The sequence below is a fragment of the Homo sapiens genome, chromosome 8, assembly GCF_000001405.40.
Source record: "Homo sapiens chromosome 8, GRCh38.p14 Primary Assembly".
In the NCBI taxonomy this organism is placed as follows: domain Eukaryota; kingdom Metazoa; phylum Chordata; class Mammalia; order Primates; family Hominidae; genus Homo; species Homo sapiens.
Genome location: NC_000008.11, coordinates 98,693,042 through 98,709,062, shown reverse-complemented (window position 1 = coordinate 98,709,062; position 16,021 = coordinate 98,693,042). Strand labels below are relative to the sequence as shown.

The 16,021-nt window shown below is 39.5% G+C and overlaps 1 protein-coding gene across 21 annotated transcripts in view; it reads left to right on the top strand.

Annotated features, from left to right (window-relative positions):
- Window positions 1-16,021, top strand: part of STK3 (serine/threonine kinase 3) — a 598,636-nt gene that overhangs the window by 233,548 nt on the left and 349,067 nt on the right. For 18 of the 21 annotated variants that reach the window (XR_007060753.1, XR_007060752.1, XR_007060754.1 and 15 more), the window contains 2 exons: window positions 1,752-1,916; window positions 2,429-2,596. The exons of the other annotated variants lie outside the window; for them this stretch is intronic. Coding sequence is in view for 14 of the 18 variants with exons in the window: in XM_047422133.1 (XP_047278089.1) it covers window positions 1,752-1,916; window positions 2,429-2,596 (333 nt within the window). In the remaining 4 variants the exon portion in view is untranslated. The remainder of the gene's footprint in view (window positions 1-1,751; window positions 1,917-2,428; window positions 2,597-16,021) is intronic. 21 annotated transcript variants of the gene reach the window in all.

Here is a 16,021-nt window from a genome sequence, read left to right as displayed (position 1 = left end):
TTGGACATTTGTGCTTAACTAAATCTCTACCCCCTCTCTCCTTGCAGCCCTCCCGTAAGTCAGGGGTCAGGCAGAAATTTCCAAACATCTAATCACTTGGTTGGTTTTTTCGGCAACCAGCTCCCATCCTGAAGCTATCTAGGCTCCCACCAAGAGTCACCTGATCAGTATAAATTCTGGTATGGTTGAAAGGAGCTTATTATGAATGACAAAAGACAGCCCCTCTCACTCTTGTGAGAGGGTGAGAAAACAAAGATAAAATATCTTGATTCAACTTCTCACTCACTCAGTCAATTCACAGGGTCTTAGGAGATTTTGTGCCAAGAACCTACAAAGACCAAATATTTCCTGTGATTTCATAATATCACACTACCTTACAAGGTTGTTTTAAGAATAAATGAGAGAATGCATGCATAACTCTTAGCACATTGCCTGGTACAGATAGCAGTGGCTCTACTGCTACAACTGTTAAGAAGATTTTCTTTCTTTCCCATCCGTCTCTTCCTCGGCCTTCTCTACTCTCCCCTTTTTCCCTCCTCTGATAGTCTTTGCTTGTGTTTCCATTTTCCTAATCTTTCTCTGACGTTTTTTCTTCTGAGTTCTCAATATTAGGTCAGAAGTCCAGAACTTGGAAGGGTTAGGAGTGGCATTGGTGTAGGAGCTTCTCGCAGAAGATTCATTGCAAGCCTCCCTCCCTCATTTACTTTCCTTTATGTAAAGCTGTTGGTTTCATTTTCATCAAGAATCTGAAATATCTCAGGGGAAGTATCTGAATTTACTTTTTCAGAACAGATATTAGCTGTGATAGTGCCCTCCCAGTATTAGAAGATGTGGGAAATCACTATTATGATTCCTTATATCAGGCTGATTCTTGAGATATGTTGTTTGCTTTAGGAATGATACTGATAATTTTTTTTTTTTTTTGAGATGGAGTCTCGCTGTGTCGCCCAGGCTGGCATGCAGTGATGTGATCTCAGCTCACTGCAACCTCTGCCTCCCAGGTTCAAGTGACTCTCCTGCCTCAGCCTCCTGAGTAGCTGGGATTACAAGTGCACGCCATCACGCCTGGCTAATTTTTGTATTTTTAGTAGAGACGAGGTTTCACCATGTGGGCCAGGCTGGTTTTGAACTCCTGACCTCAAGTGATCTGCTCGCCTCAGCCTCCCAAAGTGCTGGGATTACAGGTGTGAGCCACCACGCCCTGCTGATACTGATAATCTTAAAGAGAGAAATTTGATCATCCTTTCATTAGTAAAATGTGTAATAAGAAAGCTTATTGTGGGAAGAAGAGGTTCTCGATTATTTACCCCTTTAGCATTTTCCTGGAGGTTTAGCGGTCATTAGAAAGAAGTACTTGTGGCTAGGCATGGTGGCTCACACCTATAATCCCAACACTTTGGGAAGCTGAGGAAGGAGAATTGTTTGAAGCAAAGAGTTCAAGACCAGCCCGGGCAACATAGCGAGATCCCCATCTCTACAAAAATAAAAATAAGTTAGCCTATTGGGTTGGCATGTGCCTGTAGTTCTAGCTACTCGGGAAGCTGAGGTGGGAGCATGCCTTGAGCCCAGGAATTTTAGGCTGCAGTGAGCTATCATCACACCACTGCACTGTAGCCTGGGCAACAGAGTGGGGTCTCTTAAAAAAAAACACACACACACACACGGAAAGACATACTTGTTACTAGTGCTCTTTCGTAAGATTTTATCTAACGTGGCATTTTAATTATGGTTTTAAAAATATTTCTTTCCAGTTAATAGAAGATGAAATTGCAACCATTCTTAAATCTACATTGAAAGGACTAGAATATTTGCACTTTATGAGAAAAATACACAGAGATATAAAAGCTGGAAATATTCTCCTCAATACAGAAGGACATGCAAAATTGGCAGATTTTGGAGTGGCTGGTCAGTTAACAGTAAGTTAACTTTAATGGTTTTCTAAACACTTGGCTAATTTGTTCAGATTTGATTATAACTAAACTTCAATTACTTTTTGAGGGGGAATGGAAAGAAATGTGTAGTTTTTTAATTTTTGTGGAGAAGGAACCATAATTGAGCCAAATTTGAGTATTATTTAATTTATAATTTAGGGTGATTGAATGTGAAAATATATCTTATAATCAAAATGCTTAAATGTTCTAAAAGGGAAGCTACGTAGCTCATTTCTGTAGCTTTTATCATTGTAGCACTATCTTTAATGACTGTGTTTAATGATGGTAGTGTGGATAAGTTACCTGTGGACTCTTGGTTATTTTCAGAATTCGGAATTCCTAAGTATGTCATAACTAGTTGAAATTTTAGCAAAATAGTCAATTTCTGATATAATCTGTGGCATTGGAGGTTTTAACATTTTTTAAAAGTATGTTTGGCATACAGATTTCCTTTGTGCTTTTGTAGTAGCATTTATGGCTATGTAACATTATTGCAGGATACAATGGCAAAACGCAATACTGTAATAGGAACTCCATTTTGGATGGCTCCTGAGGTGATTCAAGAAATAGGCTATAACTGTGTGGCCGACATCTGGTCCCTTGGCATTACTTCTATAGAAATGGCTGAAGGAAAACCTCCTTATGCTGATATACATCCAATGAGGGTAAGAAAATTATGGTTTGCTGAAAATGTTAGCCTTATATAAGTGTTGCCGTTTTGTAATGTCAATGTAAGTAAATATAAACTAAATAAGTTCATTTAAATGTATTCTTTTTAAAAATGGTAAAATTACCTCTTAAAGATTAGTAACTGTTAACTTCTCTTCCTTCTGCATTCTTAATTGTGAGAAAAGAACTGAAGGCTTTGTATATCTCTACCATCACTGTTCTCCTCCCCCAAAAATATACTTGTAAAATTTTTGCTTGCTTTTCAATAGAAGAAAGGGTTGGTAAATCCTCTTTGCTCTTCAGTTTATTGTTTTCTTGATTGTGGTAGTGAAAGAGTTGGAAGTAATCATTTCTCACTTTTTTACCCACTCTGTGATTTATACCTTACTGTGTGTTTTTTTTTTTCTGCCTTTTCTCTTCTTTGGTCTGAGGATGGTATTAAGCAATCCTAATTTCTAATATTACTATGCACATATAAAGGAATTCGGCTAATTTTTTTTAATGAATGCATGCTGAGAAAATGGAATTCCTTTTTTGAACATCATTATATGCTTCTGTGAACTCTGCAGGATAATTTTTGAGTTTGAAATATATATTTTGCATATTCAAGTCTAATTGCCTGTGTTTCAGGGTTTGTGATGATATACTTTTTAGGTTTATTACTATGTGAATCATATAGATAAGTTCATCATCATAAATAGGTACACTGATCTTTGTATACTTATTGCCCTCTAGTGGCTGTAGTTATCTCAATAAGGATGTAGGAATGAGGGGAGGAGTGTATGTATGTGTGTATTTGTAGAAAAGAGAAGATAATATCATGGTGGCTGGAGGAATGTGAAGTAAATAGATAGAAAGAGGAAGAATGCATAAAAATTCAGATATTTTAGAATATCTGAAGAAGAATAAATTGGAATTACATCTGATATTATAATGCCATTGTGGGTTAAATTTCGATAATATAGGTAACAGTGTATTATACAGAAAATATTTAAAAATCTGTCTGCTGTATTGAAACATTTTAAAGAGAGTTTTTTTTTTTTTTCTTTTGAGATAAGGTCTCACTCTGTCACCCAGCCTGGATTGTAGTAGTGCGATCATGGCTCACTCGAGCCTCGACCTCCTGGGCTCAGGTGATCCTCCCACCTCAGCCTGCAGAGTAGCTGGGACTATAGGTATGCACCACCATGCCCAACTAATTTTTTGTAGAGACAAGGTGTCGCCATGTTGCCCAGGCTGGTCTCCAACTTCTGGGCTCAAGCGATCCGCCCACCTCAGCTTCCCAAAGTGCTGGGATTACAGCAGTGTGCCCAGCCTAGAGTTCTTTGAGTAATGTAATTGTATACAATATGTATCATCTTCCTGGTGTATATAAATTCCTTTTGGTAAATGAAAGATAAAAATGCATCAATTGTTTGAAAATAACTTGAAAAACAACAAGGTCAGCATAAAAACAGGAACACAAAGTCTTATTTCATCTCTGATCATTAGTTATCTGTGGTTCTTTTAGTTAGGATGTTTGTAGGGTGATCCTCAAAGTAGGTGTATTTGAGTTTGAATCAGTGAGGTTTACTAAATTACCCAAGGCAACCTAGGTAAGTACAAGAGCTGGGATTTAACTTAGGACTTCCATTATTACTATTCTGCTTCTTCCCTGTGTAAATCTTATTTTTCCAACCAAATAGTTCAACATGTTAAATTTGATCCTGTGCTCAGATAGCAGAGAATTGTAATATGTGGCCTCTTCCTTTAAGGATCTTCTAATATTACCTGAGAGTTTGAATGAATACATTATACATTATTAAAAATATACCTGAAAATAATATTTCTTTTAGAAAAAAATATACCTGTATTGCAAACTTCCTAGGATGCCTTGCTCACTGTTTTTTTTTTTTTAAATCTAAATCCTACCAGTTTTTCAAGTCCCAACTTGGATTTTATGCCTGTGTAGAGCCATTCTTGACAGCTATCGCCCAAGTAAATTTCTCTTTTTCCTCATATTTTGTATATAGGCAATTTCTTCACAGTCCAGTTCTTTGGACAGTTAATCAAGTGTTGCCTCGTGCATTTCCAAACATAATATAGTTTATTTCCTATTTAAATAATATCATTATTTAACTTTTCTTGTGTTTGTGAGCTGTCTTACAAAGTAGAGTATTGAACTGCAAGTATTGGAAGCTGTTGAGATCATGTAACAGATAGTTTTATCACTGGTAACAAGTACTGCCTTTTGTTTTCCTTGAAATGACAGGTTCACTTGGTTCCTTTTTGAGAAAATGTCTGTCAAATACCCAAGTCTGTGTAACCTTAGTTTTCTGTTAGTTATTCTTCAAGTAAAAATGATGTTCTTTGAAAAGAGCCTTGTAGTTTATTTAGCTTGCAGCTCAGTCACACAACTGCTTTTTTTCAGATTATTGTTGTTCTTTGATATGTGGGGAAGTGCTTTATGCATATTTTCCATTTTGTCAATGTAGAATATTAAAAATACATATTCAAGTGTAGAAATTTAATAGAATTAATAAACTTTACTGTTTCATCAAGGTTTACAGTAGTTTTGTGGGGGGTATAGTGAGGGCAATGAAAGAAAGAGCTGTCCAAGAGAGAAAAATTGTTGAGGGCCCAGCTAAAATTGGTAATTGGGAAAGTATAGTGTAATTAATCCTGGTTTGTGGGCCTTCCTATGGTAGTGTGCTCTGCTGTGCAGTAGAATGCATTATGGCCTTGATATGGAGGGTTTGGGTTTTAATGAATGAGTGTCTTAGAAGGATGGGGCTATAGGGAATTTAAGGATGCTGCTGAGAGACAGTTCAAGGGGTTACTAACAGGGCACAGTCTGGAAAGAAAAGAGAGAGTGTAAGGAAATGGGGTGATCAAAGAATAGGTAGTGTTCTCCATGCTTGCTGCATAGCCGTCATGTGGGGAGCCCTACCCTAAACAGATTAAATCAGAATCTCAGGAGGTTAGAGAGGAGATAAAGTGGTAGTTAAGATATGAGAAAGCTGGTAGGATATGACACTATGGTAAGTGAGTGAAATATTGAAGTTTTTTACCAACATTTTTTTTTGTACTGTAGTAATTTTGTGAAATAAATATTTTATCCTCCATTGGGTGGATTGGATGAAATGGATAAGATTATGTTATTTAAGATGACATAACTTGTCAGTGGCAGAACTGAGATATGAACTCAGTTTGTTCTGTGTTTTTGCCTAGACACCAAAGAAATATCCTCTGTGTTAATATCCCAACTCAGTGCAAGTGGAGGAGCGGCTAACAAAAATAAGACATTTTAAAACCATGTAATCACAATATTATAATTACTGATTTAAAATCTGAACCCTCTAAGTTTTCCAGAGTAGCAGGAAATATGGTAACCTAGGTAAGATTTCAATTTTTAAAGTTTTGTTTTCCAGCCATGTTTTGGTAGACATATAGGCTAATGAGGTAATCAATAATCTACAAAGTTGCCACAATGAGACAAAGATGTGATTGACATGAAGACCCCACAGCTGATAACAGGCAAAAAACCTGATAGTTATTTTAATATAAGTAAATGATACAATTTACTACATATACATGGCTATCTAGAACAAAGTTAGAGACAAAGTTAGGATGTGGTGGGTGAGTTTCCCCAGCCTCCATCTATAGTGGGGTGCCCAGCCACTGGTGGTATTGCCTAATTGGAGTGAGGATTCTAGCCAGTCTTTCTGAAATGCCTTGCATTCATCCTCACAGAGTTCTAGCCCTTTCCACTATGCCTGCCCACTAGCTGTATATAATTAGGAACACTCCAGAACAGTGGTGCTGCCTTGTAGACTGAGTGAACTGGGATTTGGTTTCCCAGTCATTTTCTCAGCCTTTTACCGTGTTTAGGTACCAGGCCTGTTTGTAAAGTAGTATTGCTTAGGCCAGCAAAAATTAGGGGCAAAAAGAGATGCCTTGAGCTTGGATAATTTAGAATGGAGTTGCTTCTCCTTAAGTGGCCACAAATTAATACTGTTTTTCACTGATTAAGGTTTTTGTAGGACATATATTTAGGGTGTCATAGTCTGAGGGATACGAAGAACTTAAAGATGGCACTAAATTAGAAAATGAAAGTGGTTAAATTGGAAATTTGCAGTTATTTGAGAATGGGTCTTTCAAAGGTGTTAAGTCTGAGGTCATTTGTTTTATATGCTTTAGTTTATCAGTTTGTCAGAGATTGATTATTTCTTTTATCATTCCTGGGCAGAATAAGGAATATTTGGAATATAGATGTTCAAGGAGAAATTTTCTAATAAGAAGAACTATTAAAAACACTGGATTTGTTTGATGGCAAGGAGTTAACCAAATTTGTTAGTTTCCATACAACTTTTTCTTCCCCCCAAAGAAACTTGTAGTATATGTAAACCGAATCTTCACTGTGGTAGACAGTAATGATTATCTGTTTAGTAAAGGGAAATGATGATGTACACATTGAAACATATAAAGCTTTTAAACAGGAGAGGGATAAAAGTGCTTATAAATTTATATTCAGCTATGAGATTAAAATTAGTGAGTAGTGGCAAATGGGAGTAAGTCTAATCAGAATGTTAAGTGAAACAAATTTTTTTAAATTAAAACTCAGTTTATTTTATAAAGTTAAATATGAAACCACCAAATTAATTTTGATCAGTTAGATAAATAGAATAGTTAAAAAAATTTAGTTTTGAATTCAGTTAACCACATACTTTTGAGGAGATCAGTCTTCTCTTTTTCTCAGGCCTTTAGGAAGTGAGTGTGAGAGAGAGAGAGTGTGTGTGTGTGAGTGTGTGTGTGTATATATATGTGTGTGTATAGATATATATATATATATATTTTTTTTTGAGACAAAGTCTCGCTCTGTTGTCTGGGCTGGAGTACGGTGGCAGTCTTGGCTTGCTGCAACCTCTGCCTCCCGGTTTCAAGCGATTCTCCTGTCTCAGCTCAGTCTCCCAAGTAGCTGGGATTACAAGTGCGCACCACCATGCCAAGCTAATTTTTTGTATTTTTAGTAGTGACGGGGTTTCACCATGTTGGCCAGACTGATCTTGAACTCCTGACCTCAAGTGATCCACCTGCCTCGGTCTCCCAAAGTACTGGGATTATAGGCGTAAGCCAGTGCACTCAGCCTTAGGAAGTATGTATATATATGTATATATTTTAAATCAGGAGATGAATAAATAGTATCATTTCCTTCCTTCCGTCCTTCCTTCCCTCTTTCTTTTCTTTTCTCTTTACTTTTTTCCTTTCCTTTCTTTTCCCTCCCTCCCTCCCTCCCTTCCTTCCATCCATGTGACAGGGTCTCACTGTGTCACCCAGGCAGGAAGGAGTGCAGTGGCACAATCACAGCTCACTGCAGCCCTCAACCTCCCAGGCTCAAGCAATCCTCCCACCTCAGCCTCTCGAATACCTGGAACTACAGGTGCACACCACTACACCCAGCAAATTTTTGTATTTTTTTCCTTGATGGATTCTCGCTGTGTCACCCAGGCTGGAGTGCAGTGGCGCCATCTAGGCTCACTGCAATCTTCGCCTCCCTGGGTCAAGCAATTATCCTGCCTCAGCCTCCTGAGTAGTTGGGAGTACAGGCGTAACCTGTAAAAACCCTTTGTGTTTGCTTACCTGTTGTTCAGCATAGGGAAAGGGGTAAGGAAAGAACTGTATGGATCACTCTGTGGACAGCAGGAGAAGTACCTGATGATTTCTTGAATCAGGCAAAGGAAAGAAAATAGAAATCAAACCAAGAATTTTTACTTCTATGCAATGCAATACTGAATGTTTATAACTTTAAAAAAAGATGTGTAAATAAATAGTGTATTTTGGAAGATTTATGTCAAATGTGATTTAAGGAGATAATTGGAGGCACTTGTCAACTTTCTGGAAATTTAACTCACATAAAGCATGACAATCTCTGTTTAAGAGTAAATTAAGAATTATTGATTTTATTGGGGAAGCAGCCAAGATGGCCGAATAGGAACAGCTCTGGTCTACAGCTCCCAGCGTGAGCGACGCAGAAGACGGGTGATTTCTGCATTTCCATCTGAGGTACTGGGTTCATCTCACTAGGGAGTGCCAGACAGTGGGCGCAGGACAGTGGATGCAGTGCACCGTGCGCGAGCCGAAGCAGGGCGAGGCATTGCCTCACTCGGGAAGTGCAAAGGGTCAGGGAGTTCCCTTTCCTAGTCAAAGAAAGGGGTGACAGACGGCACCTGGAAAATCGGGTCGCTCCCACCCTAATACTGCGCTTTTCCGAGGGGCTTAAAAAACGGCTCACCAGGAGATTATATCCCGCACTTGGATCAGAGGGTCCTACGCCCACGGAGTCTCGCTGATTGCTAGGACAGCAGTCTGAGATCAAACTGCAAGGCGGCAGCGAGGCTGGGGGAGGGGCGCCCGCCATTACCCAAGCTTGCTTAGGTAAACAAAGCAGCCGGGAAGCTCCAACTGGGTAGAGCCCACCACAGCTCAAGGAGGCCTGCCTGCCTCTGTAGGCTTCACCTCTGGAGGCAGGGCACAGACAAACAAAAAGACAGCAGTAACCTCTGCAGACTTAAATGTCCCTGTCTGACAGCTTTGAAGAGAGCAGTGGTTCTCCCAGCACGCAGCTGGAGATCTGAGAATGGGCAGACTGCCTCCTCAAGTGGGTCCCTGACCCCTGACCCCGGAGCAGCCTAACTGGGAGGCACCCCCAAGTAGGGGCAGACTGACACCTCACACGGCCGGGTACTCCTCTGAGACAAAACTTCCAGAGGAACGATCAGACAGCAGCATTCGCGGTTCATGAAAATCCGCTGTTCTGCAGCCACCGCTGCTGGTACCCAGGCAAACCGAGTCTGGAGTGGACCTCTAGCAAACTCCAACACACCTGCAGCTGAGGGTCCTGTCTGTTAGAAGGAAAACTAACAAACAGAAAGGACATCCACACCAAAAACCCATCTGTACATCACCATCATCAAAGACCAAAAGTAGATAAAACCACAAAGATGGGGAAAAAACAGAGCAGAAAAACTGGAAACTCTAAAAAGCAGAGTGCCTCTCCTCCTCCAAAGGAACGCAGCTCCTCACCAGCAATGGAACAAAGCTGGACGGAGAATGACTTTGACGAGTTGAGAGAAGAAGGCTTCAGACGATCAAACTACTCCAAGCTACAGGAGGAAATTCAAACCAAAGGCAAAGAAGTTGAAAACTTTGAAAAAAATTTAGAAGAATGTATAACTAGAATAACCAATACAGAGAAGTGCTTAAAGGAGCTGATGGAGCTGAAAGCCAAGGCTCGAGAACTACGTGAAGAATGCAGAAGCCTCAGGAGCCGATGCGATCAACTGGAAGAAAGGGTATCAGTGATGGAAGACGAAATGAATGAAATGAAGCGAGAAGGGAAGTTTAGAGAAAAAGAACAAAAAGAAATGAACAAAGCCTCCAAGAAATATGGGACTATGTGAAAAGACCAGATCTTCATCTCACTGTGTACCTGAAAGTGACGGGGAGAATGGAACCAAGTTGGAAAACACTCTGCAGGATATTATCCAGGAGAACTTCCCCAATCTAGCAAGGCAGGCCAACATTCAGATTCAGGAAATACAGAGAATGCCACAAAGATACTCCTCGAGAAGAGCAACTCCAAGACACATAATTGTCAGATTCACCAAAGTTGAAATGAAGGAAAAAATGTTAAGGGCAGCCAGAGAGAAAGGTCGGGTTACCCACAAAGGGAAGCCCATCAGACTAACAGCTGATCTCTCAGCAGAAACTCTACAAGCCAGAAGACAGTGGGGGCCAATATTCAACATTCTTAAAGAAAAGAATTTTCAACCCAGAATTTCATATCCAGCCAAACTAAGCTTCATAAGTGAAGGAGAAATAAAATACTTTGCAGATAAGCAAATGCTGAGTGATTTTGTCACCACCAGGCCTGCCCTAAAAGAGCTCCTGAAGGAAGCACTAAACATGGAAAGGAACAACCGGTACCAGCCACTGCAAAATCATGCCAAATTGTAAAGACCATCGAGGCTAGGAAGAAACTGTATCAACTAACGAGCAAAATAACCAGCTAACATCAAAATGACAGGATCAAATTCACACATAACAATATTAACTTTAAATGTAAATGGACTAAATGCTCCAATTAAAAGACACAGACTGGCAAATTGGATAAAGAGTCAAGACCCATCAGTGTGCTGTATTCAGGAAACCCATCTCACGTGCAGAGACACACATAGGCTCAAAATAAAAGGATGGAGGAAGATCTACCAAGCAAATGGAAAACAAAAAAAGGCAGGGGTTGCAATCCTAGTCTCTGATAAAACAGACTTTAAACCAACAAAGATCAAAAGAGACAAAGAAGGCCATTACATAATGGTGAAGGGATCAATTCAACAAGAAGAGCTAACTGTCTTAAATATATATGCACCCAATACAGGAGCACCCAGATTCATAAAGCAAGTCCTGAGTGACCTACATAGAGACTTAGACTCCCACACAATAATAATGGGAGACTTTAACACCCCACTGTCAACATTAGACAGATCAACCAGACAGAAAGTTAGCAAGGATATCCAGGAATTGAACTCAGCTGTGCACCAAGCAGACCTAATAGACATCTACAGAACTCTCCACCCCAAATCAACAGAATATACATTCTTTTCAGCACCGCACCACACCTGTTCCAAAATTGACCACATTTTGGAACAGGAAGTAAAGCTCTCCTCAGCAAATGTAAAAGAACAGAAATTATAACAAACTGTCTCTCAAACTACAGTGCAATCAAACTAGAACTCAGGATTAAGAAACTCACTCAAAACCACTCAACTACATGGAAACTGAACAACCTGCTCCTGAATGACTACTGGGTACATAACAAAATGAAGGCAGAAATAAGGATGTTCTTTGAAACCAATGATAGCAAAGACACAATATACAAGAATCTCTGGGACACATTCAAAGCAGTGTGTAGAGTGAAATTTATAGCATTAAATGCCCACAAGAGAAAGCAGGAAAGATCCAAAATTGACACCCTAACATCACAGTTAAAAGAACTAGAAAAGCAAGAGCAAACACATTCAAAAGCTAGCAGAAGGCAAGAAGTAACTAAAATCAGAGTAGAACTGAAGGAAATAGAGACACAAAAAACCCTTCAAAAAATTAATGAATCCAGGAGCTGGTTTTCTGAAAGGATCAACAAAATTGATAGACCGCTAGCAAGACTAATAAAGAAGAAAAGAGAGAAGAATCAAATAGACACAATAAAAAATGATAAAGGTGAAATCACCACCAATCCCACAGAAATACAAACTACCATCAGAGAATACTACAAACACCTCTATGCAAATAAACTAGAAAATCTAGAAGAAATGGATAAATTCCTCGACACATACACCCTCCCAAGATTAAACCAGGAAGAAGTTGAATCTCTGAATAGACCAATAGCAGGCTCTGAAATTGTGGCAATAGTCAATAGCTTACCAACCAAAAAGAGTCCAGGACCAGATGGATTCACAGCCGAATTCTACCAGAGGTACAAGGAGGAATTGGTACCATTCCTTCTGAAACTATTCCAATCAATAGAAAAAGAGGGAATCCTCCCTAACTCATTTTATGAGGCCAGCGTCATCCTGATACCAAAGCCTGACAGAGACACAACCAAAAAAGAGAATTTTAGACCAATATCCTTGATGAACATTGATGCAAAAATCCTCAATAAAATACTGGCAAAACGAATCCAGCAGCACATCAAAAAGCTTATCCACCATGATCAAGTGGGCTTCATCCCTGGGATGCAAGACTGGTTCAATATATGCAAATCAATAAATGTAATCCAGCATGTAAACAGAACGAAAGACAAAAACCACATGATTATCTCAATAGATGCAGAAAAGGCCTTTGACAAAATTCAACAATGCTTCATGCTAAAAACTCTCCATAAATTAGGTATTGATGGGACGTATCTCAAAATAATAAGAGCTATCTATGACAAACCCACAGCCAATATCATACTGAATGGGCAAAAACTGGAAGCATTCCCTTTGAAAACTGGCACAAGACAGGGATGCCCTCTCTCACCACTCCTATTCAACATAGTGTTGGAAGTTCTGGCCAGGGCAATTAGGCAGGAGAAGGAAATAAAGGGTATTCAATTAGGAAAAGAGGAAGTCAAATTGTCCCTGTTTGCAGATGACATGATTGTATATCTAGAAAACCCCATTGTCTCAGCCCAAAATCTCCCTTAGCTGATAAACAACTTCAGCAAAGTCTCAGGATACAAAATCAATGTGCAAAAATCACAAGCATTCTTATACACCAATAACAGACAGCCAAATCATGAGTGAACTCCCATTCACAATTGCTTCAAAGAGAATAAAATACCTGGGAATCCAACTTACAAGGGACATGAAGGACCTCTTCAAGGAGAACTACAAACCACTGCTCAATGAAATAAAAGAGGATACAAACAAATGGAAGAACATTCCATGCTCATGGGTAGGAAGAATCAATATCGTGAAAATGGCCATACTGCCCAAGGTAATTTATAGATTCAATGCCATCCCCATCAAGCTACCAATGACTTTCTTCACAGAATTGGAAAAAACTATTTTAAAGTTCATATGGAACCCAAAAAGAGCCCGCATTGCCGAGTCAATCCTAACCCAAAAGAACAAAGCTGGAGGCATCACACTACCTGACTTCAAACTACAAGGCTACAGTAACCAAAACAGCATGGTACTGGTACCAAAACAGCATGGTACTGGTACCAAAACAGAGATATAGATCAATGGAACAGAGCAGAGCCCTCAGAAATAATGCTTCATATCTACAACTATCTGATCTTTGAGAAACCTGAGAAAAACAAGCAATGGGGAAAGGATTCCCTATTTAATAAATGGTGCTGGGAAAACTGGCTAGCCATATGTAGAAAGCTGAAACTGTATCCCTTCCTTACAACTTATACAAAAATTAATTCAAGATGGATTAAAGACTTAAACGTTAGACCTAAAACCATAAAAATCCTAGAAGAAAACCTAGGCATTACCATTCAGGACATAGGCATGGGCAAGGACTTCATGTCTAAAACACCAAAAGCAATGGCAACAAAAGCCAAAATTGACAAATGGGATCTAATTAAACTAAAGAGCTTCTGCACAGCAGAAGAAACTACCATCAGAGTGAACAGGCAGCCTACACAATGGGAGGAAATTTTTGCAATCTACTCATCTGACAAAGGGCTAATATCCAGAATCTACAATGAACTCAAACAAATTTACAAGAAAAAAACAACCCCATCAAAAAGTGGGCGAAGGACATGAACAGACACTTCTCAGAGAAGACATTTATGCAACCAAAGAACACATGAAAAAATGCTCACCATCACTGGCCATCAGAGAAATGCAAACCAAAACCACAATGAGACACCATCTCACACCAGTTAGAATGGCAATCATTAAAAAGTCAGGAAACAACAGGTGCTGGAGAGGATGTGGAGAAATAGGAACACTTTTGCACTGTTGATGGGACTGTAAACTAGTTCAACCATTGTGGAAGTCAGTGTGGCGATTCTTCAGGGATCTAGGACTAGAAATACCATTTGACCCAGCCATCCCATTACTGGGTATATACCCAAAGGACTATAAATCATGCTACTATAAAGACACATGCACACGTATGTTTATTGTGGCACTATTCACAATAGCAAAGACTTGGAACCAACCCAAATGTCCAACAATGATAGACTGGATTAAGAAAATGTGGCACATATACACCATGGAATGATATGCAGCCATAAAAAATGATGAGTTCATGTTCTTTGTAGGGACATGGATGAAGTTGGAAATCATGATTCTCAGTAAACTATCGCAAGAACAAGAAACCAAACACCACATGTTCTCACTCATAGATGGGAATTGAACAATGAGAACATATGGACAAAGGAAGGGGAACATCACACTCTGGGGACTGTTCTGGGGTGCGGGGAGTGGGGAGGGATAGCATTAGGAGATATACTTAATGCTAAATGACGAGTTAATGGGTGCAGCACACCCGCATGGCACATGTATACATATGTAACTAACCTGCACATTGTGCACATGTACCCTAAAACTTAAAGTATGAAAAAAAAAGAATTATTTTAGCCTAAAAAAAGGTCTCTATCTCTGTGTCCTTACACTACCTACTTACAAATAAAGGAGCCCTGCAGATATTTTCAAACATAAGGAGTCATTTTTGATGAATGATGTTTTCAAAAATAATGCTATCCTTTCCTGAAGAGTCTTTTCCTTAACCCACCATATTTTCCAACTGGCTTCCACCTCCCTTTTTGGAGAAACATAGCATTTAAATAGATGCAACAAATGCTTTAGTATAGGCAGCGTAAAAACAGACATGGGTTAGAAGATCATTCTTTATAGTGCATATCAAAAAGTAAAACACAGTAGCTCTCTCCCATTGGAAATCCCATGGCACTACTTTTTTCACAAAGAAAGGATTTTAAAAAAAGAGACAAAAAATGTGGTTATGTCCACATGTGAAGAGTGAACACTTAGTTAACCGTTTTTTAATATTTAAAAAAACCCAACACCAAAAAAGAGAAAAGCATCCATGTCCTCCTTTCCTGCTCAATTAATAATAAAATTTGCTTGAGAAATTCTGGAAAACTGATTCTCTGTAGTGGTGAGACTTGAGTAATACCACACCCAACACACTTAACACACCTTCCATCTCCCAGTCCCTGCTGTGTAGGTATTTGTAGATACCTTGGATGTCTTAGTGTATGTGCACCTGTGTTTGTCTGACACCACCTGTTGGAAGATTCCTTGCAAGGATTTAACACAGTGGTGAATGGCATAGAGGAGTATCTTCATTTAGCCTGGGAAACCAGAAGTCTGAAATCAAAGTGTTGGCAGGACTGTACTCCCTCAAGGGGCTCTACAGGATAATCTATTTTTCACTTTTTCCAGCTCTTGGTGGCTGCCTGCAATCCTGTTTTCCTTAGATTGTAGTTGTCTTACTCTAATCTCTGCCTACATCTCCATATTGCATTTTCCTCTGAGTGTCTGTGTCATCATCATCATCTTCTTTCTTCTTTCACAGGGTCTTGCTTTGTCACCCAGGCTGGAGTGGCGTGAACATGGCTCATTGCAGCCTCGAATTCCTGGGCTCAAGCAATCCTCCCGCCTCAGCCCCGCAAGTAGCTGGGACTACAGGCACAAGCTACCATGGCTGGCTAAATCTTATATTTTTTTTGTGGAGATGGGGTTCACCATGTTGCCCAGTCTGGTCTCGAACTCCTGAGCTTAAGCAGTCTGTCTGCCTTGGCCTCCCAAAGTGCTGGGATTACAGGTGTGAGCCACTGCACCCAGCCCTGTGTCTTCTTTTTTGTCTATCTACCTCAAATTTCTCTCTGCCTTTCTCTTATAAGGGCACTTGTCATTGGA